The sequence below is a fragment of the Homo sapiens genome, chromosome 12 (assembly GCF_000001405.40).
Source record: "Homo sapiens chromosome 12, GRCh38.p14 Primary Assembly".
NCBI classification, from domain to species: domain Eukaryota; kingdom Metazoa; phylum Chordata; class Mammalia; order Primates; family Hominidae; genus Homo; species Homo sapiens.
The window spans coordinates 106,567,506-106,595,280 of NC_000012.12; the positions used below are offsets into that span (position 1 = coordinate 106,567,506).

General features: G+C 45.9%; 1 protein-coding gene and 1 long non-coding RNA gene across 2 annotated transcripts in view, besides 3 other annotated features; one reads left to right on the forward strand and one right to left on the reverse strand.

The window, feature by feature from the left end:
- Positions 1-27,775, reverse strand: part of LOC100287944 (uncharacterized) — a 278,422-nt gene that overhangs the window by 71,096 nt on the left and 179,551 nt on the right. The gene's annotated exons all lie outside the window — the stretch shown is intronic.
- Positions 13,578-14,460: an enhancer, noted in NCBI's record as "H3K27ac-H3K4me1 hESC enhancer chr12:106974861-106975743 (GRCh37/hg19 assembly coordinates)". NCBI's record gives its function as "activates a minimal SCP1, AML or CMV promoter by ChIP-STARR-seq in primed H9 embryonic stem cells {active_cell/tissue: H9 hESC(primed)}" and the evidence as "EXISTENCE:reporter gene assay evidence [ECO:0000049][PMID:30033119]".
- The window catches only part of RFX4 (regulatory factor X4), a 179,800-nt gene continuing 167,523 nt past the window's right edge, over positions 15,499-27,775 (forward strand). The window contains exon 1 of the mRNA NM_213594.3: positions 15,499-15,858. Within this exon, the coding sequence (NP_998759.1) occupies positions 15,816-15,858 (43 nt within the window). The 5' untranslated portion in view covers positions 15,499-15,815. The remainder of the gene's footprint in view (positions 15,859-27,775) is intronic.
- Positions 15,949-16,533: an enhancer, noted in NCBI's record as "H3K4me1 hESC enhancer chr12:106977232-106977816 (GRCh37/hg19 assembly coordinates)". NCBI's record gives its function as "activates a minimal SCP1, AML or CMV promoter by ChIP-STARR-seq in primed H9 embryonic stem cells {active_cell/tissue: H9 hESC(primed)}" and the evidence as "EXISTENCE:reporter gene assay evidence [ECO:0000049][PMID:30033119]".
- Positions 18,288-18,873: an enhancer, noted in NCBI's record as "H3K4me1 hESC enhancer chr12:106979571-106980156 (GRCh37/hg19 assembly coordinates)". NCBI's record gives its function as "activates a minimal SCP1, AML or CMV promoter by ChIP-STARR-seq in naive H9 embryonic stem cells {active_cell/tissue: H9 hESC(naive)}" and the evidence as "EXISTENCE:reporter gene assay evidence [ECO:0000049][PMID:30033119]".

Below are 27,775 nucleotides of genomic sequence, written 5' to 3' on the forward strand. Positions count from 1 at the left end.
GGAACTGTGAGAAAATCATTTTCTGTTGTTTAAACCACCCAGTCTATGGCATTTTTTAATGGCAGGACAAGCTGACTGAGACATGTTTTGATGGAAAAAGAATGGTTAACCATACTGGAAAAACATTGCAAAACAATACAAAGGCGAACTACAGATGGACTAAGTGCCTAGATGGAATGATAAAAGGTCAAGTGAATGAAAGAAAAATGAATGTAATGCTGGAGACAGGAATTCTTAAATAAGACCCTCAAAGAGCAAACCATAGAATGGAAAAAATCGGAAGTACCATCCTATTACCTTTGCCATGTTCTATCACTAGAGGGGAGCCACTAAGTCTGGCCCACATTCAAGGAGAGAGGATTATGCAAATGTATGAATCCCAGGAGGCAGGGATCACTGAGAGCCATTTTAGAAGATGCCTAACACGGGCAGTTCACAAAGCACAAAATGCAAAAGTCAAACACAAGAAAATGTGCTGAGTACCCACTAGTATTCAACAAAATACAAATTAAAACAGCAATTATTCATTTTTACTCAACATTTGGCTTTAAAAATTGTTCTTAAGTAATAACATTGAGTGCACAGAAGGGCATTGCAGAAACTGGCACTTTCATGTATTGGTGGTAGAACTGTGAACTTTTAAACTTTTGGGGAAAGCAATGCATCAAGGTCATTGATATGGTTTGGATATTTGTTGTCCTCAAGTCTCATGTTGAAATGTGATCTCCCCAGTGTTCGAGGTGAAGCCTAGTGGGTGTTTGGGCCACAGAAGCACATCCCTCATGGATGGTTTGGTGCCCACCCCAAGGGAAGGAGTGAGCTCTCACTCTGTTAGTTCACACAAGAGCTGGCTGCTTCAAAGAGCCCAGCACCTCCTGTATTCTCTCTTGCTCCCTCTATTTCCGTGTGACTCACCTGCTCCTCCTTCACCTTCCACCCTGAGTAAAATCTTCCTTAGGTCTCGCCAGAAGCCAAGCAGATGCTGGTGCCATGCCTGTACAGCATATGGAACCGTGAGCTAAATAAACCTCTTTTCTTTATAAATATCTGAGTCTCAGGTATTCCTTCATGGCAACACAAAACAGATTAACACAGTCACTAAAATATTAAATGGTTTGGCAATCCCCTTCACAGCAATCTATTTCATAGAAATAAAAGCACTAGTACTTGCTAGTACAAGGATGGTCTACTGTAACATTATCTCTGAGGGCAAAAAAAAAAAAAGTCCCCTAGAAGCAAAGTGAAGGACCTTCAATAAGGGAAAGATTGGAGAAATTTTGGTACAACCAAACTATGAAATATTCTTATCCGATTTGTTTATGTTTGATCATAGCAAAAGGTTTGGAATCACATGCACCAAACTATTAATATGTGTTACCACAATAGAATTATAGAGGGAAAGGTAGATTATTAATTTTTAATATATCTTCATAAATTTTATTTATTTATTTATTTGTTTATTTATTTATTTAAGATGGAGTCCCATTCTGTTGCCCAGGCTGGAGTGCAGTGGCCCAATCTTGGCTCACTGCAACATCCACCTCCCTGGTTCAAGGGATTCTCCTGCCTCGGCCTCCTGAGTAGCTGGGATTACAGGCGTGTACCACCACACCTGATCTCAGCTCACTGCAAATCCACCTCCTGGGTTCAAGCAATTCTCCTGCCTCAGCCTCCCGAGTAGCTGGGATTACAGGCGTGAACCACCACACTCGGCTAGTTTTCGTATTTTTGGTAGAGATAGGGTTTCACCATGTTGGCCAGGCTGGTCTCAAACTCCTGCCCTCAAGTGATCCACTGACCTTGGCCACCCAAAGTGCTGGAATTACAGGTGTGAGCCACCATTCCTGGCCATAATTTGAGTTTTATAGCAAACATGTATTACTTCTGTTATTGAACAAAGGCAAAAAGAATTTTTTAAAAAAGAAAAATAAAAGTTGTCTTGACTAAGTCCTACCAATTCCAAATGAAATAAAAGCATATGAAAATTTCTCTTGGAAGTGTATTAGATGTGTAAATTATTTTCTCCCAGTTATTTGTGCATTTTAAAGGTGAATTTTCATTCATTCACTCATTCAATGCATATTCCCTTAAAACAGCCTATTATATGCAAAAGCACTGGCTACAAAGAGTAAAGCCTTTCACTGTGGTGAATCCATTCTTCTCATGAACAAGAAGCAGGAGAGGTATTTTTGCAGAGCTGGGAACATGAGTCTTCTTTACACCTGTCAAACCAAACCACAGAACCATTTTGAAGATACTGTCTTGAGAAATGGGTGGGACACAAAGCTTTGTGCAGTGAATACTCTTTCTCACAAGTGAATTGTTAATGGGAATCAAACAGGAGAGAGCTGGAGGTCATGTGCTCTGGAAGGCAAGGACCTGGGGTGAAGGTATTCATGGACAAGATGTATATTTTTTAGTTGAGCAAAAGGGTCCTTCCCACTACACAGCATGAAGTTATGCAAGGCTGATCTTCTTTTAAATAGTATGGCATACACTCCTGGCTGTCTGCCTATTCCTGTGTGTTTCAGAGGAGGACAGACCTTTATCCAGACCTAGAGGAGAATTTTGGTTCATCTTAACCTATCATGGTATTTATTTTCCCTTTGCCTAGTATTGGTTAAGGAATGGGCAGGTAAAAATCAATTATCTGATGGTATAAGGGGGAAAATCTTCCAAGAGGCTTTTGAGAAAGTTCTTCTACTCTTAAGAAAGGACAGAAGGAAGGGATGCATTCTCTTTCCTCCATTCAATCTTTGAGAAGTGTATTAGGTAGGCATGATGCTTTAGCAGCTACAGCCATCTTGTGATGGTGAGGAAAGATAAGCAGAGGACGAGAGCAAGCAGAAAGCAGAGCTTGAATGTGGGAGGAACCTGGGGCCATGATGACATTCTTGAGCCTCTCAATTAGCCAAACTTGGAATCCTCCTATGACCAGACTTTTTGTTATGTAGGCCTTTAGAGTTAGGTTTCTAGAACTTGGTAGAAATAGTGAGGTGGTTATTTATCTTGTAATTCTCTGAATTGGTAATTCATTTATTTCCTTCTTTCCTTTTCATTTCCTTTCCTTTCACTTTCCTTCCTTCCTTCTTTTGTTTCTTCCTTCCTTTTTCTTCTTTCTTCTTTCTTTACATCCTTCTTTCTTTTCTCCTCTCTTTTTGTAAATGCACATTTGCTGACTCCCTTATGAGACATATTTCCATAGGGCAGTGTTCTCTCAAAGTGGATCCAAGACCCTTCTGACCCTTCTGCATCACAATTACATAGGGCATTTACTTAAAGGCCACAACAGCAATAGGAGGATAAACCAAAAGTTTTTTCTTTTTTTTTTTCTTTTTTTTTTTTGACAGGGTCTCACTTTGTCTCCCAGGCTGGAGTGCAGTGGCATGATCTTGGCTCACTGCAACCTCTGCCTCCGAGGCTCAAGCAATTCTCCCACCTCAGCCTCCTGAGTAGCTGGGACTACAGGTGCACACCACCATACCCAGCTAATTTTTGTATTTTTTGTAGAGACGGGGCTTCACCATGTTGCACAGGCTGGTCTTCAACTCCTAGACTCAAGTGATCTGCTTGCCTCAGCCTCCCAAAGTGCTGGGATTACAGGCGTCAGCCAACGTGTTCAGCCTAGTTTTTGTTTTTTAAAGAAATAGTTACTATAAGGGAAGGAAAATACATGGTAAGTGGGACAGGAATGGGATATGAAATCCTTAATATACTTTGTTTCATAGATGTTTTGTGTGTATATTTGACTTTGAAAACATGTAAATAAGTTACATTTAAAAAAAATTCTTTTCATTTTTTAAAAAGTTAAATGAATCAACTTCCAATTTTAGGCCTTGAGATCAGAAGTTGTTACTCCCATTCTAGACAAACTGAAAAGCAATGACTTTTTTGGATCCACTAGAGAACTGAGGTTGCCAGGCAAGTGCCACCCCAGAATATAGCGTAACTGAAGGATCCAAAGAGTCACAGCCAAGATCTACTATCTGGAGCAGAAATCACTGGAGCCATGAACTAATACGACGTTTAAATGGTCATTTTCTTGAATTGTTGAAGGTTAAGTGTGGATTAGCATAATAGGAAGACGTTCCTGGGGACCTCAGTCTTAAGGGCACCCTCAAAATTTCATGGGCTTTACCTCTAGCAACCCAGGCTGTCATGGTAAAGATCTAAGAAAGATCCCTTCGTGGCTCTATCACGGAGAGGAAAGGACTAATAATTGTGAAATATGTTCAGAGCTTTTTCTGTAATAAAGGCCTATTCTCCAGAGTAAAAATCTTCATCAGAAGCTTGTCCCAGAGCCTTTAGGGAAGAGTGTCCCATTCCAGCCCCCTCTAGCCTCCCGGTCTCACCTAAGGGAAGGGGGAAAAGAGAAGCTATAGAAAACTTGGGAAAATTATAGTTCAGGCTGGGTGTGGTGGCTCACACCTTGGGAGGCCGAGGTGAGTGGATCACTTGAGGTCAGGAGTTCAAGACCAACCTGGCCAACATGGTGAAATCTTGTTTCTACTACTACAAAAAAAAAAAAAAGTTAGCTGAGTGTGGTGGTCCATGGCCATAGTTCCAGCTACTCAGGAGGCTGAGGTAGGAGAATTGCTTGAACTCAGGAGACAGAGATTGCAGTGAGCCAAGATTGTGCCACTGTGCTCCAGCCTGGGCAACAGAGTAAGACTCCCATCTCAAAACAAAAAACAAAACAAAACAAACAAAAAAACCAGTTCAGAGACACAGGCCCACTAAAAGGTTTAATTAGAATATTATAGAAGGCTCCCCTCCCTCACACCTTACAACAACACCAACAGGATTCCAGTATAATAATAGGTTACAGATGACATCTTACAGCTGGAAGACTCAGACTATATCTTAGGAAGAGGAATACTTTAGGGAAGCCTGACGTCAAGAGGGAAGATAAAAACAAGGACACTGAAGGAGTTTGAAGCCTCTGATACCTGACTACCTCTGACATCTCTGACACTAGACTACAGCAAACATTAAACAAAGTCTACCTCCTATTCCAATTAATGTAGATCTTCACACTAATGGCTCGGTTCCTGTTACGTAATGCAACATGTCCAGCTTTCAACAAAAAAATTATAAGGTCGCCGGGCGCAGTGATTCATGCCTGTACTCCCAGCACTTTGGGAGGCCAAGGTGGGTGGATCACCTGAGGTCAGGATTTCTAGACCAGCCTGGCCAACGTGGCGAAACCCCATCTCTACTAAAAAAAATACAAAAAATTAGCCAGGCATGGTGGCGCATGCCTGTAGTCCCAGCTACTCGGGAGGCTGAGACAGGAGAATCGCTTGAACCCAGGAGGTGGAGGTTGCAGTGAGCTGAGATCACACCATTGCACTCCAGCCTGGGTGACAGAGCGAGACTCCTTCTCAAAAAAAAAAAAAATTATAAGGCAAGAAAAAAACACTCTGAAGAGACAAGGCAAGCACTAGAACCAGACTCAGGTATGACACAGATGTTGGAATTGTCAGACAGGGAAATTAAAATAACGGTAATTAATATGTTAAGATCTCTAGTGGAAAAAGTAAGCAACATGCAAAAGCAGATGGACAATTTAAGCAGAGAGATGGAAGTTCTAAGAAAAGATCTAAAGGAAATACTAGAAATCACAAACACTGTTAACAGAAATGAAGAATATTTTTGATGAATTCTTTCATAGACTTGACATAGCTGAAGAAAGAAATTAGCATGCCTGAAGATAAGTCAATAGAAACTTCCCAAACAGAAATGCAAAGACAATGGGAAAAAAAAAAACAGAAGAGAATATTTAAGAACTGTGGGACAGTTTTCAAAATAAGTAACATACATATAATTAGGATATCAGGAGGAGAAGAAAAAAACAGAGCAAAATATATATTTGAAGTAATAATGATAAAGAACTTTCTAAAATTAATGACAGACACCAAATCACAGATCCAGGAAGCTCAGATAACACCAAGCAGAATAAATACAAAAACAAAAACAAAAAAACACTCCACTTAGGCATATCACATTTAAAATGCAAAAACAAAAAACAAAGAGAAAATTGGAAAAAAAAAAAAAAAGAAAACACCTTACCCATAAAGGACCAAGAATAAGAATTACAATAAACTTATCAGAAACCATGCAAATAAGAAGAGAATGGAGTGATATATTTAGTGTTATGAGGAAAAAAAAACACCAACCCAAAATTCCATATCCTGCAAAAATTATTCTTCAAAAGTGAAGAAATATAGACATTCTTTAACAAAAACTGAAGGAATTCATTGTCATCAGACCTTCCTTACAATAAATGTTACAAGAAGTTCTTCAAAGAGAGAGAGAGTGATGTCAGAAACTCAGATCTAGCCAGGCACTGTGGCTCACACCTATAATCTCAGCTACTTGGGGGGCTGAGACCAGGAGTGCAAGACTGCAGTGAGCTGTAATTATGCCACTATACTCTGGCCTGGGTGACAAAGTGAGACCCCATATCTAGTATTTAAAAAAAAGAAGCCTGGCCAACATGGTGAAACCGCATCTCTACCATAAAATACAAAAACTAACCAGGCATGATGGCACATGCCTGTAATCCCAGCTACTTGGGTGGCTGAGGCCGAGAATTGCTTGAACCCAGGAGATGGAGGTTGCAGTGAGCCAAGATCACACCACTGCACTCCAGCCTGGGTGACAGAGTGAGACCCTGTCTCAAAAAAACAAAACCAAAAGAAAACAAAACAAAAGCGAAAACTCAGATCTATGTAAAGAAAATAAGAGCATTGGGGAAAGTTTAAATGTAAAATAAAATCTTTCATTTCTCTTACTTGATCTAAAAGATTACTGCAGTTTAAGGGAATAATATTAACAATATAATGGGTGTTTATAGCATATAGATAAGTACATAAATGACAACAATGTCATAAGGGACAGGAGAGAAGAACTGGGAATGTTCTGCTATAAAGTGCCTGTGCTACAGGTGAATAATGCTATTTGAGCGTGAACTTACATTAGTTAGAAAAGTATGTTGAAAACTCTAGAGCAATCAATAACATTTTTTAAACCAAGTATAACGCACTGAGAGAGAAGAGAAAATGCACAATTAAAACCAAACAAGGTAATAAAAGAAGTCTCTGACAATGCATAGAAAACAGTTACAAACATAGTTGACATTCCCAGAAATATATTAATAATTGCTTTAAATATGAATGTCTAAATATAACAAAAGATTATCAAAGTAGATTTTAAAAAACTAGGTTCAATATATGTTGTCTACAGAAACACATTTTTAATATAAAGACTGACAGATTACAAGTAATGGGGATAGAGATATCCTGGGCAACACGGTGAAAACGTCTGTACTAAAATATGAAAAATTAGACAGGCGTGGCATGCACCTTTAGTCTCAGCTACTCGGGAGGCTGAGGCAGGAGAATTGCTTGAACCCAGGAGGCGGAGGTTTCAGTGAGCCGATATCGCACCACTGCACTCCAGCCTGGGCAACAGAGCGAGATTCCATTGAAAGAAAAGAAAGCTGGAATAACTCTACTAATTTCAGACAAAACAGACTTCAGAACAAGAGAAATTATCAGGAACAAAGAAGGGCACTAAATAATAATGAAAGGATCCGTTTTCCAAGAAGGTATAACAAATGAATAAAGCTGATAATTTATCCAGATTTTTTTCCCCAAGGGATTTTGAAACAATTATTTGACTGTATAGCTTGTGCAAAATATACTCTAATGACAACGAGCACTGTAATAAAATGACCTTAAACTGTTTTCCATAATCATATTGTTAGTAATAATACAGTATTGTAATTTTGAAACTATTATACACACACACAACTATAAAGAACACTGTCCTATCTTTCAGTACTCATAGCCAAGTGCAAGAGACAGACATAAAAGCTAATAATCATGGCAATACGATAAATAATATAATAGAGATATGAACAAGATTCGAGGATAATAGCCAGGAGGAAATACTGAATTTTTTGTGATAAGGCCAGGCAAAGCTTCCCGGAAGAAGTAACAATTGCACTATATATGAATTTCTAGTACAAAGTGAGAACAGCAATCCAGGCCAAGATAATTTACAAAGACAAAGGCATGGCTTGGTTGGAAAGCTACCAAATTGCTTTGACAGGATTGGGGAACATTGTATGCCCAGAAAAGAAGGCTAGAAATATAGAGAAGTGAGCCACAAAAGTAGACAAAAAGGGCCTTGTGTGCCAATATAAAGAGCTTAGACTTGAACCTGTGAATGATGATACACCGTGTACAATTAAAATCGGGTAAGGGACGTAATCAGATTTGCCTTAAAGAAATATTACTAAACAGTGGTATAGAGGCTGGAGGGTGTTTTAAAAGAGAGGGAGACTAGAGGCACAGAATCCACCATTTTAAAAGCTTACCATATGCTCTAAATACCATTTCCCACTGAAAGGAACCGGGATTCCTTGGAGAAATAGCTGATTCCATGTCTAAGGAAAAAAATAAAATAAAAGATGAGCCTGGGTCATCTTGTCATGCCAGAGAGCAAGGAAGCCATCAAAAGCCACAAGGGTCATGTCAAAAGGCTTGGGGGCCAATTGAAAGGTAGGACAATTTTAGTGTAAAAAGAGTAATTTAATGGATTAAGCATCTCAAATTTGTTAAATTCTTTAAGATCATAATACTACTACAACAAAATATCCAATGAGGGCCACCTTTGGAAGAATTTAGGAAACAAAATTATTATTGTAAAACCTGGTAAGTAAAGGGGGAAATCAAGTATTTATCCTGCCTTTGTTATATTAACTCTATCTCAAGGCAACAAAATACTGGATGGAAATAATTTTTATAGAGAATTCCAGCTATACATGCAGATGGGATGATAAAATCAAATACTGCTGTTTTGCAGGCCCCAAGAAAAAATAATGGATCTAAGTAATGGTCATCAATGGTTGTTAAAACCACTAGGTGAACAACTGATGAGGAAATTTATAAAAATGGATCAGGTTGGTAACACCTGAACCCATTGATCTTCTTAACACATAGAGACATGTGAATCCCAATGTTATGTAACAGAAAGTACACACCACCACCCATGTGCTACTCTTGCCAGAACCTTGAATCTGAACCTGATCAAGTCTCTAGACACAGTTACCAATATACAGACACTACAGGGGACAAAGGAGCATGTGAAACAACCCAGCAGTGATGCAATTAGCAGATTGCAGAATGTTGGGCACGCAACAGGACAAATGATTTTGTCACTAAATAAGAAGGAATAAAACAAGGACAGGAAACCTCCATATTTAAAGAGACCTGAGAGATATAGCGAACAAATGCATTGCATGGATTTGGCTTGGATCTTAATGCAAACCAACTTAAATTATCAGATAGGCAAATTTTGACAGCAAGTAGTTGATGGTTATGGAATTATTATTGATGTTTTAGGTGTGATAATGATATGGTTGTGTTTTTTTAAAAAAAATCCTTGTATTTTATAGATACATGCTGAGAGTGTTTATGGATGAAGTATATGATACCAGTATAGATACATGCTGAGAGTGTTTATGGATGAAGTATATGATGTCAGTATAGATACATGCTGAGAGTGTTTATGGATAAAGTATTTGTGTTGAAATAAACCTGTCAGAGGTGAAGGGCCGGGGAGGGTAATAGGGTAGATTTACAGATGAATCGGTATTGATCCCATGTTGATAATAATTGCCTTATGGTTACTTTCTTATGGGGGTTCTCTGTATTACTGCCTCTTATTTTATATTTATTTGAATTGTTTTATAATAAAACTTTCTTGAAGTACATATTGCTGGGCCCACTGCAGACCTTCTTAATCAGAATCTCGGGGGACAAGACTCACTAGTGTATTTCAATATAAAGTCCTCCAGCTGATTCTGCAACACACTAAGTTTAAGGAACGGTGTTCTATGGATAACAATCCCCTCCCATTTATATCTCTAGTTCTAGCCTTTCCACTGAACCCTAAACTTATATATCAAAATGCCGATTTGACATCTGCAGTGGATGCCCAAGAGGCATCTCAAACCATACGTGGCTGAGAAGAGGTATTGGTTTTGCCCCAAACCTGTTTGACCTCAGACTCCTCCGTCTTAGTAAATAGGACCACAATTTACCCTGTTGTTAGAGTTAAAAACACAAGGGTTTCTTCATTCTTATTCTCATTCCCTACCTCTATCCATCAGCAAGTCTTGTTTTACTTCCAACATATACCCCAAACCTGTCCGTTTCTCCTATCTTCATATCTACCCTCTTTTTAAAAGTCACCATACAATTTGCCTGGACCCCAGCCCCAACCCTAACCCCTACTCCTATCCCTAACTCTTACCCTAACCCTGTTACTACTGCAACAAGGCTGCATCACAAACCACCCAAGGACAGAGTGGCTTACAATAACAAGCATATATCACAGGTCTGCTGGTTGGCTAGGCAGTCCTGCCTCAGGCTGCAGTCACAGTGCACTGTGGAAACAAAGGTTCATGTAGGTTGGGCAACCTGGAGGCCTGGCTTCCAGTGGCTCTGGGGATGAGCTCAGATCTGAAGCACATGCTATAGTTCCAAGGGTTTCTTCCAGAAAGGCTGGCTTAAGCTGACATGGATGCTGAGAGAAGCCAGCTAGGGTTCTTCCATGGGCTTACTCTTTAAGGCGATTCACAGTGGTGAAGCCATCTCCAGAGAGATGTTCCTCACTAGCACCTCTATAGCTCCCCTTATGTCTGCAGATTGCCTAGGTTCAGATCTTGACCCTGTTGTTACTTGTGTGACCTTAAGTAAGTTACCTAACCTCTTTGTGCCTCATGTAAGTGGGTATAATAAAAGTACCTCACAGGATTTTTGTGACAATTAAGCCTTAGAACTGTGCCTGATTCTTAGTAAATGCTTAATAAGCATTAGCTATTATTAGTAATAGTCTTACCATCTTAAAGGAGAAGACATTAATACATCAAAACCCTACTTATAGACTTGTCTTTCCCCTTTAAGATGGTAAGACTATTACCAACAACTTTCAGTGGCTTATAACAACGAACATTTATTTCTTGCTCACAGTTCTGTGGGTCCCTGGGAAAAAGGGGAGCTCTTCAAACTGCCTGGCAGGTCCTGGTTGGCTCCATGTGTCTCTCGTTCTAGGACCAGTGACTACGTGGGGTTTGCTCAAGGCAAGTCAGGAGTCCAAGAGTACTAGCCAAACTACCCCCAGGACATGTAAGGCCTCTGGTTTCATTTAACATATGTTGTCCACTCACATTCTGTTGGCGAAAGCAAGCCAATAGCCAAACCCCAAATCAGCGGGAGGGAAAGCCAGAGTAGGCCAGAGAGGGAAGAGAGAATTATGAATAAGTAATACCATCTACCACATCAGACAAATAAATAATTACAATGAAGTGAGTGCTGGGTTTGGAAAGTACAGGGACTGTTGAGATTACAGCAGTGGAGGCAGAGCACACCCCGTGATCTAAAAGGGATCCGCCCTGCACCTTCCTCTTTCATGCTGCTCGTTCATCCATTCCAGGGGATTCAGCAGCCACCCAGGTCTGCACAAGCAGTGCCAACTCCACACCTTTGTGGGTCTGCCTGGCTGTCATTGCCACTGGGCTACTGGGAAGTTTTAAGGGCCCTTCAAACCCTTCTCTCTTGCTGCCAAGTCTTCCCTCCTCATGTCACATCCTGGTACCAATAGCTACTCATTGCTCAAGTCAGAAACCTGGGAATCCCTTCTCCCTCCCCATCCCTGGCCACAACTAATCAACATCAAGGCTGGGAATACAGCTTCCTTGGTATCTCCTGAACCCTGCCCCAACTGCCATGTACCTGTGTCAGGTCATCCTGATCCCTCCCTCCCACCCCCTCCTGCAACCAACCCCCATCTGGCCACCACACAGTTTGAGATCTCTTCACATTTTGTGATCTCTTCAAAATGTAGATTTAGTCCTATATGCACCAAACCCTTCCAGGGTACATTTCTTGGCATGGCCCTAGCTTACCTCCCCATGAAATGGCCTGTTAATCCTCTCTTCCTCTCTTGGGTTCCGTGTGCAGCCAGGCCAGGCTCCAGTCCCAAACACACTCCACAGGTTCTCCTCTTCGCCTGTGCCTCTGTCTGTAACACCCTCAACCCCCTTGTCTGGCTAATTCAGCTCCTGGGTCACCACTTCCTCCAGGAGGCCTGCCTTGACACCAGCCTCCCAGGATCAGTCACATTGCCCTCTCTTTGCTCTCACAGCACCCACAATTTCCCCATCACCCCCTCCCTGCCCCTGTGCTATGTTCTATTGAGATTTCAAGCCTCTGCAGGATAGGAATTGGATAATTCATTACTGTGTCCACAGTGTCTGTCAAGGGCAAGAGAGCCACACAGAACCCCAGTAGTTCTCCTAAAAGTGGAGACGACAATAATATGTATTAGTTGTGTTGTGAGGATGAAATGAACTAATGCATGGAAGACGCCTGAACCCGTGGAAACACATAATGAATACATTAATAGTAAATGGTAGCTATTACTATTTATGATGTTGACAGCATTAAATCTAAGCAAACATTTTATTGAAGTATGAAATACATTCCAAAAAATGCGCAAAATCACAAGTGTCACAGTCAGTGAATTGTCACAAATGACACCCTTGTGACTAGCCCCTGGATACCATTACTTTTAAGCTCAAATGTCAGCTTCTCAGAGAGGCCCTCCCTTGACTTCGTCTCCCACCTCTTAATTCTATGTTGTATATATTATCTGTTTCCCCTCACTCCCATGTAAGCTTCAGGAGAGCAAGATTTTTTTTTTTTTTTTTTTGGTCTATTTTGTTCACTGATGTAGCCTCCGCTTCCTAGAATAGTTCTGGACACATAGTAGATGCACAATAAAAATTTGCCAAGGAACGAATGAGCGATTATTATTTTCATTTCTTTAAGCTCCCAGGCGCTGCAGCATGGTCATGCCCGAGAACTCGTGCCATCCCAGGTGAAGCAGCGCTGGGCCGGGACCAGCCGCACCTGGCCCGGCTCTGAGCTGTGCTGGGCTGGCTCCGGGTTCTTCCGCCTCACTCCTGGCCTGTGAGCCCGGCTCACCTCACCCTACCCACCTCCACTCTGCGTGCAAAAATTATAATAATAATAGCAACAATAATAGTCTCATCCGCCCTGGAGACCACCCGTGCCCCCGTGGCATCCCTCAAGGACTCTCCGGGCGGTGGCAGCCGCCCACCCTGGGGACGCGCTCCTTGCTGCCACCGGAACGCCCCTGGCCAGGCTCCATCTACGCGCTGTCAGACCCTCCCGCCGTCTGAAGAAGGCTTTTACTCTTCAGCCTATTCCAGTGGCAGAGAAGCTAAGGCTACAAAGGCGAACGCGAACAGTCAGATCTGACTTCGAATTCCGCTGTCATTGCTGCCAGGCGCACCACGAGGACGCGCGGTGACCGCCACCATGGCATTCGGCTGCCAAAGGTTTCCATCGACCTCTTTCCCATCACCAGCATCGCAGCGGGAAAGAATGTGCCTGGCGCCCTTCTGGGCACTGGGCATGGGGTGGTGAACAAAGTCCTCCAGAAATAAACCGGGTAATGAGCCCGGCAGCGGCCGGGGCAGGAAGGGACCTTCGCAGAGAGTGGTCAGGCACAGCCCCTCCGAGGAGGCGACGCTCAGCTGAGACCAGGGTGACGCAAAGGTGTCGGCCGGTTAGGCACCTGTGAGGAAGGAGGAGCCGGCAGAGTGCCAAGTAGAGGGAACAGCAAATGCCCGGCTCCTTTTATAACCACTGCTTCAGTTATCTTCCCCCAAAGCTTGAGAGGGGGCAACTTTGCTACATTTCACAGACGAGGAAGCTGAGGCCCAGAACGATGAAGGAATTTACAGAGCTGGGATTCGAACCCCGCGCTACCGTCAGTCCATCCCGGGCTCTGTCCAGCCGGTACCGCGCGCCGCCTTCTTCCTCCCGCACCGTGACCTTAACTCGGCACGTGCTGGCCCCTCGGGCTCCCCAGTCTCCGTACATTGTCCCACTCAGCTCTGATTGTGGGGAGGGGGCGGACCGAGGGGGCGGGGGGCGTCTTTCCGAAGGATCGCGGAAAGCCGCGCGCTGCCAGGGGCCCGGGGTTAGAGACCCCCACTCCCGCACGGCGTTAGGGACTCCGCGCTTCCCCGCCCCCGCCGCGGCCCGCCGGCTCTGCCTCTGTCCATGGTCAAAGCACCCGGGGTAATCCGCCTTTCTCTTCCGCCCGCCGGGCCCCATTCATATTCTAATCACAGCGCGGCCGACCCGCGAACGGCCACTTTATCGGGGCCCGCAGGAGACGCAGCTTGCTCCCCCTCACTTCCACTTCCAGCACCCCCCGGCCCTCGCCCCCCTCTTTCTGCACTTTCAACTCCGCCGAGGAGGGGGTCCCTGGGAAAACCGCGTCCCCACTTGGATGCCGGGGCTTCTCACAAACTTCGAGGCCGACTGGGGGACGGCGGTGGGGTGGGGAGGGCAGGGGGAGGGCGGAGGAACAGAGACAGACAGACTGACAGAGTTACGGGAAGAGGCGGGGGAGGGGGGACAGTACAGAGAGACCGAGGGGGATAGAGACAGAGAGGGGCAGAGTCCTAGGGGGAGACAAAGAGAAGTGGAGGCAGGGTCTGGACAGAGACACTAGCAGCCAAGGAAGGAGAAATGGACAGAGACAGAGACACAGAGGACGAGAGGGACAGAGAGCTAGAAACAGACACCGGGAGACAGGCGGAGAGAGACAGCGAGATGGAAGGAGAGAAACAGGATGAAGGACCCAGGCCCAGAGGAAGACAGAAAGTTCTGGAGGAGGCGAACCAGCCACTCACCTCCTCCCCGCCTAGCGGCCTTGTTACGCTCATATTGGGGCATGGGGTCTTAGGGATTCAGTTCCCCTTCCCCACCCTTTCCCCTTCAAGCTCGCTTCACTCCCCACGCGTGTCTGCGGATCCGCGTGCAAGGGGTCAAGACATACCCCCTCCCGCATTCTCAGGGCCACCACCCGAAATCTAACCCAGGACCAAAATGGGGGGTGGGTGGGGGCGCAAGAGAAGGAAGGGAGTGGGGCCCCACTCGTGGTAGCGCAGGCGACTCCCCAGGCTCCAGGAGTTCCCCGCGGCTCCCCCCCCGCCCGCGCCCCCCTCCCGGCCTGCCAGCACGGCGCGGGGCCCGATGGTGGGGAAGGGCCGGGAGGGGGAGGGGGCCACATCTAAGCCAATTTTGATTTCGCCTATAATGAGTGCCGGGCGAAGGCTGGAGAAGGCCTCTGGAACTTTAAATAAGAAAAACGTTGCTAATGCTATAATAGAAGGGGGAAGTCGGAGGGCTGGGATTGCGTCGCTCTGAGCCCCCCTTTTCGGAGGCGGCTTTTCTTATTCAAAACAGGCCCACAATGGGCTTCACAGTGCGCCTCGCCACGGCCCCATCTGACGAGCGGCCATTCATCAGGCCGGCTGGCCTATCAATGACATTGCTCCCATCGGGGCTCCTATAAAATGATGCTTTTTCCCATGAAACATCCGCAAACATTTTGACGGGTTTGGCTTTGCCCGGCTGGATTACTGAGTGTCCCCTTGCTCGCTCGCTTTTTCTCTCTCCCCCTTCTCCGAGCTCGCTCCCTTCTCTCCCTCTCTCTCCTCTTTTCTTCTTTCTCTTTTCTTTCCTCTTCTTTTTCTTTTCTTTTCCTTTCCTCCTTTATCCTTGTGCCCCCTCACTTTCTGCGTCTCTCTCTCTCCCCTTCTCCCTCCCTCCCTCCCTTCCTCCCTGGGCATCTCTAGCACAGGGGATCCCCAAACATCAGGACTTTTGGGGGGCGCCTGTGCTGTCCATGGGAAGAGCATGCATTGTGGGTTACTGGAGGAACCCGACATGGATTCCACAGGTTAGTCCTACTGGCGGGGTTGGGGGGATACATTGGGAGGGAAGGAGAAGGGAGAGGGGGAACTTTAGAAAGAAGTTGGGAAAAGTTCAGACGGGTCAACTTGACAGTGGAACCCCAAAGAATAACGCAGAGCTTGCAGAAGTTTTCAATTCGAGGCGATGTGTGTAACTGGATGCGTGGAAGTATGTGTATAAGCGTGTGATTGTGTACGTGTGTGAGTGTGTGTGCGTGCGCGCGCGCGAAGGAGCGCGCTTTCGCTTGCCCTGGACACAAAGTTACGTAAAGATGCGCTGGCTCGCGGCGAGCTCGAGGTGCCACTTGCAGAAACTTTGCCAGCCGACCGCCCCCTCCCGGACCCAGGTCCTCCTAGGGTATGGGGGCCTCGGAATAGCGGTGCGCTCGGGGTCTGGCGGCCAGGGCCGGGAAGCCGAGCGGAACGCCCCGAGGCGGGGGAGGGTGACGGCTTCGCACTGCGCCTGGGAGGTGGGGACCGAGGCTCCGGCTGGTAGAGACGCGCAGCTGGAGGGAGTGGCGGCGGCGAACCCGGTGGTCCGGGGGAATCCGCAGAAACGGGAGGTGGGAGTCCTGGGCTGTGGGGTCGGGCTTTTAGCTTTTCTGCCAGGAAGGGGCACCCAACGCCGGGCTCCACTAGGGAGCTGTGACCTTGCTGGAGGGAGGGCAGGACGCAGACTGGCCCGCTAAACTCGGCGTTGGGGTCTGCAAACTGCTCTGCAGTTCAAGAGCTGCTGGGCGTCAGTTTTGGGGGTGCGGCGGTCCTTAACAACGAAAAAAGGAGGCCAAGGAATCTTTCACAACGAAAACACCCGGTATCTCGGTTCTTCCTCCAGTAGTTTTCGCCACCTCCCACTCCTAGCACCTTTGAAGAGCCGTCACACTTCTAGATCTGTTAACGCTCCCTAAGTCCCTTGCAGGTGGAAGTTCTCTTACAGTTCACCCCCTCCCCTAGGCTCATTCTTGCAACCCGGCTATTTTCATTTTGGCCCCCTGCAGCCTCAGAATTTCTTAGGGTGATGAGTTTGGGGAGAGGCAGAAATAGGGCAGTGGACTCAGCCTGGGCCGTGGCGAGGTTTGAGAGAATGCCTGCAAGCATAAGCTGCTGAGCATTGCAGCGCGGAGCAACAAGTGCCTTCCAGCCCCGGCCGTCCCCTGAGCATGCACGTCCTTTCCTTGAGCAAATAAACAAATGCCGCACGAATGTCTCCCCAACTCCACCCCTAGGCAGGCTGGATATGGAAGTGGGGTGGGGGCTGGGGTCATCGGGGCATTGCCCCAGAAGGTCTTTCCTCGGTCCCTGCAGAAATATTTAAGGCCTCTCCAGGTTTCCGCTGCAGCCCTGGTGGCCCGGACACCGGACTGCTCTTGCCAGGGGGATATTCTGTGTTTTAGGGTAGTTGTCGATCTCTGATTCCTAGAGTCAAGGCCCCGCCTGATTGCACTCCCCTGGCTGGGTGTGAGCCCCCAGGGAGTGGGGAAAGGCTAAGCCCCGAAGTTCTCCTTCCTATACTCGATGACAAACGAAGGCAAGGAGAAGCGTCGCCTGCCCTGCGTGCCTCTCCGGACACGGCAGGCCCCGCTGAGGTCTCTACTGGCGGTAAAGCGGGAGCCCAGAGAGAGAAAAGCGCCTTTTCCACCATTTTTTCATCTCAAGCGCTGCGCCCTCACCACCTCCTGAGAACCCTAACATTAAAAATGAATATCCTTAACAAACTTAAACGCATGTCTGCAGAGTTTGTGGCCAAGTATTTTCGAGCGGCCCACGCAGGGACATAGGGTCTCCCTACATCCCAAACCTGCAGTGGCCCTGCTGGGGGGCTTTTAGCTGCCTCCTCCACAGGGCCAGGCCCCTCGGTACTTCTGGGGAGGACTGTGGGGCTGTGGATTCGTGGCGTTTTCTGTTCTCGATGCAACTGGTGCTCGTGGGGGCACCGGGTCCTCTTCACCTCAACTGCAAACACTCCAGAGACGTTCTGAAATGAAATCCTTTCCCCATCCACTTCTCTCCCTTTTGTATATCCGAGACATCCCTAGGTCACCACCCTGAACGCAAAATCAAAAGTTTTGGTACACGACAGTGTGAAGAAATGACACTAGACGCACCAGGTGACATTTCACTCCGACTTGCAAAACCGACGACAAGGGAAGTGCGGCTCGGCGTGGTCCAGTCCAGAAGCCTTCCCTCACCTCCCTTCCAGAGAATTTAATCCAATTAGCCTTTCTTCTGAGTTTCCCTTGTTATGTAAAGGGTCTTTTCTCCTGGCTTGCAGAGACGCGCGCTCCATGGAGCAGTTCGATTCTGCTCCTTTTGTATAAGATCGCGCGCGATCAGAACCAGGAATATTGCTGTTATTATATCATTCCGAAAGGACTGGAACAACCGACTCACAGCAAGTGCTGGGGCGAAGTAGGAAACGTCCAGGATAAGAGAGGCCGGCGAGCGGGGCCACCGTCCCTTACTCTTAAAAGGAAAATCCCCGCGAAGTGCCTCGGGCCCGGGAGAACAGTTTTGCAGGGGCCAGGGCTCTAGTGGCCTGCTTTGGGGCCACTTCAGCATGACCTGCGGAAACGCGCCCCTTTGTTCCGCACACTGAGCCAGTAATATATTCCTCGGGTTTCCCCAAAATACTCAACAAGTGTGGAGCTAAGACAATGGCCCGGTCGGGGGAAGCTGGGCAGCCGGCGCGCGCCTCCTGGGCCCTAGGCGCTCTCGCTGCCGAGCCCGACAAAGCAAAGCCCCTCTCGGAGGCAAAGCCCCAGCTTGCCGCGCGCCGCGGTGCTCCGGCAGGAGGCAAAGGCGACAGGCGCGCGCAGGGGCAGTCGACGCACCTTCTGGCCGGTGCGCGGTTTGCAGTAAGCGCAGGCGCGCGTCCCGCTCGGCCCGCGCTACAGCCCCACGCCGCGCAAAAGTGGGTGCTGAGCCCCGCGTGGCCTGCGCTCCCCACGCGGGCCACCGGCAGCTACGTGTTTGTGGCCGCCGGGTCCAATCAGGGCTGCTCTGCCCGGGTGATCGTTGCTCAGTTACTCAAGTTATCCGGAAATTCGAGAACGATGGGGGAAAGTGGGTAGAATTTTAGGCCACCGAGAACTTGTGCAAAGTGGGCCGGGCCGGGTCGGTCGCCTACGCAACAGAAGGATCATTTCTTTTAAAACGGGATGGCGCGTTAGAGAGGGCCACTGCCAAGCTGGAGCTGGAAACTTCTGCCTCCATCCACTTTCCGCTCCCATCTCCAGAACCCAGAGCTGAGGCGGCCAAAGTACTTCCTGGAGCCGGATTTGAGTTCCCCGGGCCGCATCGGTGGGAGGGCACGCTAGTTTACAGGCCCCCAGCTCAGCACAAATTCTTTCTAAAATTCTACCACCAAATTAATTATATGCCTTTGTGGGCCCGGGGTAGGGATGTCCAGTGGCCTTGGCGCCGTGCCCACAAGGCAAAGTGCGTCCTGGAGGGAACAGGGCCCGAGCCTCCTCCATTCTTGCCCAGGCACAGCCCTGGGGAAGGAGCCACTGTCTGCGGGCTTGGGAGAGCAAGGAGCCGGAGGTCCGAGCCTTGCTCCAGCGCCCAAACCAGACAGTCTCGCCCTCCCCGGGCGTGTGTGTGTGCGCGCGCGCGGGCGAACGGGGCATGTGCGCCCCCATCTCTGCCACCTGCTAAGCGCCGGCGTCTGGATTTGGCAGCGGGGTCAAGTGAGAGCCGCATGGTACCAGGGTTCCGAGTCCCCGAGGCTGCAGCCCTTGATGGCGCGGAGGCTGCACGCAGGCTGGGTCCTCGGAGTCCCGGATTCAGCACGCGACTCTGTGCGGCAGCCTGGGACAGCGCGCTTTCCTACCCGGCCTGCAGGTCCCAGAGACTCGGAAAAGTTTGCAGGGGCCGCCCGGCGCCTCGGGCCTGGGATTTCCAAAGCCGCTCCCGCCCCCGTCCCCAGCGCGTCACCATGGAGACTGCTGGAAGTTGGTGGTGGAAAACAGACCTGGCGCAAAGCAAAATATTATGAGTGCAGTTGGGGTGACTTCAGGGGGCGGGGGGACCGGAGGGCAGGAGCGGGAGCCAGAGGCAGAGGCCGACAACAAAGGGCCCAGTGCGAGGAAGAGAGAGGAGTTTGCACGGGGCCTCCCCGCCGCTGTGTGAGTGCTGGACCATCCTGCTTCCCAGAGGCTCCGAGGTCTCTAATTTCTCTCCAGCAGCTATACCTTTTCTCAGCCCGCCTTGGAGCCCTTGCTCCCTCCCTCCTCTCCGGGTTCTCTTCCAGCCTCCCCCCTCACCCGTCCGGAGGTTAGGCGCCAGCTGGGCAGTGCGCCCGCCTCCCCAGGAGCCACAGGCTCACCAACGTGAAAGGTTCTGGCTTTTCTTCCCCACGACCCGTGGGTCGCCCAGGGTGAGTTTCTCACCCCCTATCTCAAACCCGATCTGAAAGGGTGATGGGTTAGAATAAGGTGGGAACGGAACGGGAAGAGAAGGGAGCGTCTGGCCAGAAATCTTGCGAGTGGGGATGGGTAAAGAGGAGATTCTGATTTTTCCCCCCTTTTTACAGTGAGAAAGGCGCTGAGTCGTGATTCAACTCAGCCACTTGTAATATGACTTTAGGTTAATCTTCTAGGCTTTCCAAGATTATTTTTAATTGCCTGTAAAATGAAGGGTTAGACAGCTCACAGGCTGGGATCTCTGACAAGGTAGACATTTCCCTCTATTCCTTTGGCTTTACTGTAGAATCCAGGAAGCAATATATGAGCTGGTTACCACTATCTGAAATATGACCCACTGCACAATTAGGTAATTTCTCCTCGAACTAATGATATATTATTTTTTGCAAATCATTTGGGATTTTAAGAGTCAATAACCATGAACAACTCTTTTTAAAGGCCCAGAATGTCCTTTCTCATTGCCACCTGCAGTGCATTCCTTAATTGTTTGGCCAACTCCCTCCATCCCCAAAGGATTTACTAAAAGACACTAGACTTTATGGGGCTGTATCCAGTGCCAATTTAGGGAACACTGAAATGCTTCTAGATAATGAAGCTGGCATCACAGACCCTCACATATGTGAGAGAGGAATACACATTGGCCAATGTACTAAAATGCGGCCATCAAAGGAAAATCACTCCACCCTCCACTGCTCAAGTTTTTGGGAAGAAGTCTCTTCTCACGCCTAGGCATCCCTCCTGATGACAATCTGGGCAAAGGAGCCCTTCTCCTTTCCCTGAGATTCCATTGCCTCATTTGCAAAAGAATGGATTGGGTGTAAAAATTGATATGCTCTATTGAGTTGGTGCAAAAGTAATTGTGGGTTTGCACAACCCGCAATTACTTTTGCATCAACCCAATAAAATTCTACCTCTCAATTATATGCCTGTGTCCGCGTTTGTGTTCTGACATCTATGTCAAATCTTCTGGGTACTTTGTTTATAAAGTAGTTTTACTGACATTGAGCCTCCCAGGCACTCCATGAGCGTGGCATTATTCTGAAACATAGGGTTTTTCTTTCATTTCCAACATTTTAAGACTGATTTCTAAGCCAAGTTGGTCTGTTTGCCTCAGTGTCTTTTCCAAAAAGGCTGAGAAGATATAAAGTGGTGACATCACAAGTTGGGATGCCGGACACTCAGGTCTCTACTCCACAGGTTCCTGAGAGCCCATCCTACGTGTTCTGCAGGTCACTTGGGAAACTCTTCAGCTGCCCCTCTGATGGCCATAAGGCTCTGCAGGATGGAGACGGTGGGAGAAACCCCCAATGTTGTTTTTAACCTCTTCCACTCTATTTTAGATATTTGCAATTTTATTAAGGTTTAGGGGAGAGAGAGAATGAACTTGAAGAGTTTATTTGGAGGTATCAGGTAAAAGTGAAGTTTAAAAAAAGAAGAAAATAGACTACTTTGGGTTTTATTCAGTCTCACTTCCTGACTACCTGCTAGGTGGCAGACCCTGAAGATGAACAAGGTCACAGTCCCTACTGTCGAGGACTTCAGAATGCATTTACTAAGAGAAGGTATGGACACACTGAGAGTGGTGAGCACTACAAGGAACATAAAAATTGAGTCATTTTGGAGCTTAGAGGAAAGGATGCTCTCTCTTGCTGAGTACCTACCATGTATCAGCTCTGTAACAGGCACTTTTTCACACATTAGCCATTGAAGCCTTATCACAACTCTGCATAGTCTCTTTTTAGGATGAAAGAGGGTCTGGAACCTGCCTGAGGTCTCAACTGGTACATGGCAGAGCTAGATTGGAGAGCAGACTAGGCAACACTCATGCCCTCTCCCCACCCAGGCCACATCACCTAGACTCTGCTGTCGTGATAGGTCAGGGTTTAGTTATGACACTGGCTTTAGGTGGATTTGAATCCCACTTGGTGAGAAGGGAAACAGATGGATGAGAGTGGAGAATCACAGAATGTTGTCTTCCCTGGGCTCCAGAGAAAACCCCTCTGAAGGAATCCTGTGACTCCGCCTTTAAGGGGGATTTTAAATGGTGGCAGCAATGGGAGGCAGTGTATCACAGCGGTTGAGTAGAGATTTGGGGCACAGACAAATCTTGGCTTTCTTCATTCATGTGTTCATTCATTCATCCAAGAAGACTATGTGTCTCCTATGTGCCCAGCATTCTGCTACATACTGGGCTTAACAAAAATGTCATCTTTGCTTCCCTAGAGCATAAGTTCTAGACCCACAAATAAGTAAACACAAAAATAGATAATTTCAGTAAGTGATTAGCAATATGAAGGAAAAAAACCTATCTGGAGTAATAAAGACAGAGCATGGTGATGGGGTTGTTGGCTTCATAGGGTGGCTGTGCCACGTAAAGCTGTGAGCATTTGGTCTGGAAGCTTAATGTTGCTGAGCCTCAATTTTCTTATGGGATTGATACAACCAGCTGATACAGCTGTAGTGAATATGAAATATGAAAGTGGTAATAGTTAACATACGTTCCATACTTACTGTGTCTTCACTTTGCTAAGCATTTTAAGTACATTATCTGTGTAATGCTCACAACAATCCTATTAAGAAGAAACTGTAATTATTAAGAAGAAACTGTTATTATTTACAGTTTAAATAGAGAAACCAACAAGTTAAAGGAAAAATTGAAACTAGAAGCTGACATGTTCAATAAGTTTCTGAGCCCTAGGAAGCTGGGCTGGCAAGCTGTACCTCGATTGCTTGGGAAGCAAGATCACTCTTATTGTGTGTTCCTAACTTTCCTGAGGCAGAATGCAAGTAGGAGACCTAGCTTTTCATTTGTATTTTAAAAAGCAAATGTTTTAAAAACACTGTGACAGAGAAAGGATATAATGGCCAGGTGCTGTGGCTTATGCCTGTCGTCCCTGCACTTTGGGAGGTGAGGCAGGAGGATCACTTGAGGGCAAGAGTTGGAGACCAGCCTGGGCAACATAGTGACACTCTTATCTCTACAAGAAATTTAAAAAATTAGACGGACATGGTGGTGCATGCCTATAGTTCCACCTACTCAGGAGGCTGAGATGGGAGGATCACTTGAGCCCAGGTGTTCAAGGCTGTACTGAGCTCTGATCACACCACTGCACTTCAGCCTGGGTGAGAGTGAGACTCTGTCTCAAAGAAAAAAATAAAAAAGAAAGGAAGGAAGGAAAAGAACAATAAAAAAAGAAAAATTAAAAAAAGAAAGCTTATCCAAGAGATGAGTAAGTGGCAGAACCAGGATTTGAGCGGAGGGCCCACAACCCAGCTGGCTGGCTCTTAGATCCATACTCTTAGTCATGAAGCTGTATGGACAATCTCTTCTTCTTTCTTTCTTTCTTTTTTTCATTAGGGAGAGGGTGGCAGTGGGAGGAATGCCCAGTAACATACGTAGCATTTTAGCAAAAGTAAATGACGTGCTATTTTCTCCCTATATGAAAGTGTTAAAATAGTCCCTTTTTTTTTTTTTTTTTTTTTTTTTGACGGAGTCTTGCACTGTCACCCGGGCTGGAGTGCAATGGCTCAATCTCGGCTCACTGCAACCTCTGCCTCCCAGGTTCAAGCAATTCTCCTGTCTCAGCCTCCTGAGTAGCTGAGATTACAGGTGCCCGCCACCACGCTGGCTAATTTTTTGTATTTTTAGTAGAGATGGGGTTTCACTATGTTGGCCAAGCTGGTCTCAAACTCCTGACCTTGTGATCCACCCACCTCGGCCTCCCAAAGTGCTGGGATTACAGGCGTGAGCCATCGCGTCCGGCTAAAATAATCTTTTAAACTGTAAAGGCAAAATGTATAATTGTTGACAAAAATAGGGACATAAGTAAATCATTCATACCTTTACTACACACGTGAAATGTACTTTCATCTTCTTTGGGATTCACTCAAACTTTGGTTAATATTTGCTTTGTCTCTGAGAAAGTCAAGGCTTCATTCATGCAACAGGAAGAATAATAGAATGAAGCAAAAGCAGCTAAGTAATATGATAATATATGGAGCCTTTAGGTAACTTAAACAATATATTGCATCTAGAAGTCATTCACAGATATGTGTTAAAATATGGCTTCAGGGGTATGTAGTGTGACTTAGTGAAAAGAACATGAGCTTTGCCATCAGACAAGGTTCAAATCCTGTATCAGTTACATTCTTGCTGTGTGACCCAGAGCAAATTATCTTACTTCTCTAAGCCTCAGTTTCCTTCTTTGTGAAAATGTCTACTCACTACATTCTAGGATGGTTATGAAAATTCAGTAAGATTGCACGTGTTAAGTATTTGATTTCATGCCTGACTCCTAAAAGTTGCTCGGTAAAAGGCAGATATTATTATTATTATTAACAATAATTATCTGGCCTTCCTATACTTTATTCTAGGTGTCTAGTTGGGAAAGGGGATAAGAATACTGAAAAAAAAAATGTAGACTGTTTTAGAATACCTAGATGTGCTTGTACTATGTAGATACAACCCCAGTTTTAATGTTGAGATAAGTCATTTTTTTTCTGAAGGGTTTAGACCAAAAGACTAATTTTATTTTTATTTCTCCACCTTTCCCATGAAGAAGGCATTTTATATGCCCCTGTTTGCCATTATTTCATCCTTGTGTTTTCCAGTCTGTTAAAGGAAGTGGAAAATGTGTCTTTGTGGAGGCAACACCTGTGGGCTTGAATTTAAATCCTGGAAGAGAGATCTGTGGTGTACTCAGAGACGACGTATGTTGCACAACCCTGATCGAGGCCCCTCCACAACTCCTGATGCCCTTCCAGTTCTGGAATGTGATGGCCCACATTTTTCATGCCTCTTCCTCTTGCCTTCCCCCCACCCCAGCCCCCTCAACCACCCAACCCTCTTATGTTTTTAGGCATCACTGTTTTAAGGATTGAGCCATTTTTACACTTGGTTTTCAGGAAGTAGAAAACTCAGTTTCAAGTGAGCCGTTCTCTGGAACTCATTTTAGCAGGATGCAGAGAGAGTTTGGTTCTTTTGCCTTTCTTGCATTTATATATATATTTTTAACGTGAGGATAAAACGTCCATTTGTTCTGTTTTTGTCTTTACACTTTGATGTTTACTAACACTGCAGTTTTTGAGTTCTTGAAATGTTTACGAGAGGGAAAGAGATGATAAAAAGCAGAAAAGAATGAAATGCAGCCATTTTGCTTTCAGTTGAATTGGGTCCAAATTGAGGCAACTAGGGCTGGATTGACCTGTGCCGGGAGATTACGGAGTTTATGTGTGTCATATCCCACCCTCAAGGCAGGAATACTTCAAAAGATGTGTACAGTTTCCACTTTTCTGGTTGGTTATTCTTCCATAAAACATAAAAGCATTATTGTGCCTCGGAGCAATCAATAATTATTAGTAGAGAGGTGAAAATGGACACGTTGGATTTGTATTTTTGTAGTTGTTTTGTTTTAATTTAAAAGAACAATGAGAAAGCCTTTGAAAAGGCTGCAACCCGGTGAAGGTTAGTTAGCACTTTGTGTCCTGTGTGTTTTCCAGCTACCCAGTAGTTGTGCTAAAGACCGGTGTTTAGACACAACCTAAGTGAGACTGCTGAATGTAGCAGATATTTATTTAATCAGAATGGAAATTTACCACTACATAAGCACTGATGTCCTGAATCCATCATGTTGGAGAAAATACAGTATCAGTCAATGGAAGCAAACTAGTCTTTGAACTAGATTTTGAATGGACATTTGGATAATCTAACGAGTGATTAGTGATTGACAATTACATCTCCAAGCCAGCATCTAATTTTTGAGACACAAATGCATTTTGTGAATAAAATGATGTCAGTGCCTTTGTTTTGAATCTTGGCCATCAAATCATCGCAAGTTACATTACACTTTTGAAGAAGGAAGTGTTTCTTGGAATGTTGCGATTATAGGATTTATAATTTTTAAAAGTGAGCATGAAAGAGTTTTTGAGTTCTACGTTATCTTTTTCTGAACGTGATTAGTCCAAATTTGGGGTGTCCATACATAGAACATATTTATAATTTGTGTACTGAATCTAAATGCTCATGAATAAGTCAAGTTTCTATTGAAGTCATTAGGATTTTATAAAGTTCCAGAATTGGCAGAATTGGGTCCATGGTATAAACTCAAACCTATTTATGGTGGAACTGATGGATTATTCTAAACATTTTGCCAAGTTTTCTTCATGGTGTTCACTTCCACTGCTGATAATAAGTCTAGGGTGAGGGAAGAAGTAGGGTGCCTTTGTAAAGTTATTTGCCTCCCCAAAAAGAAAATCAACACAGTTTGCTTCCTCCTTAAATGGCTACTAACCGGGCTAAAATTTCTTTTACTTTTATTTCTTTTACTCAGTGACTCCTTTTTCAAAAGTAAAATAATTTCTCCAACAAGCATTATTGGACATCACAGAAAATAAATAAGTCTGCCTCAGAAAGCTCTGGGAGTTTACAAGGGAGAAAAATTCCAGAGGGCTTGAGGCCCTCAGTTAAAACATTAAAACTTTTAAGCTTTGGAGAGAAGATTTCTAAAGCGTCGAGCGGTTGTTGTGAGAAAGGCTTTGGTCTCCGTGAACTTTTATTTTCAACTCAGTGGGCAGAGTTTTTGAGGTTTCTGTGGTTTGGGTAGGGGACCTTTTCAGAAATGCCAGGCTTTTAGAAAAAACACAGCTTTTCTTCTAATCAAGGCTGCGTTTTAAAGTTTGAAAACTTTGGTGTGATGACAAGAATAAATTATTTCTCTGCTACGTTGAGGTTTCCTCTGGGTGCCCAGGCTGCGGGGCATTCTCGCCTCGGCTGCCTCACAGGGCACAGCTGAGGAGGCGCTGGGAGTGGGAGCGCCGTCAGTCCAGAGCTCGCCCCGCATGTACTGGGCAGCCTCGCACAGAGGCCGGCTGAGCCTTGAGCGCCGCTGGGAAAGGCTGCCGAGCTGAGCAGTGCACAGGGATCCAAGCCACGGAGGACCTACACAAGGATGCCCCATGGATCCCGTGTTCTGCTCAAAGTTTTTCTTGGTATTGAGAGGGATTAAAAAAAAAAAAAAGAAATGAAAACACCAAGGCTGTATGTTGTATATCGATAGCTGATGATAAACAGAGCATTTTGAGAAGGAAGGGAGAAAGAGAGGGAGGGGGACCCCAAGGGAGGATGGGAGGCAAGGAAGAGACCCCATCAGAATCATTTCCATAATTGACAGCAGGCTAACTTAATGAGTTTTTTCAAAATTATTAGTTTCTTTTTTATACAAGTGAGTCCCTTTTGGAAATTGAGTAGCAGATTAATCAAACTTGTAATTTTTTCCAGGCACTGTGCTGAACACTTATGCATGTTACTTTATTTAACTCACATATTGACTCTATGGTATTATTACTCCCAGTTTACAGATGGGGAAACTGAGATTCAGACAGCCTAGTTAACAATATGTCCAGGCCAAACCCCTAGTGTCAAACCAGGATTTGAACACGGATTACTGTGATTCCAAAGCCAGGTTGCCTCCTTGCCTCCCCA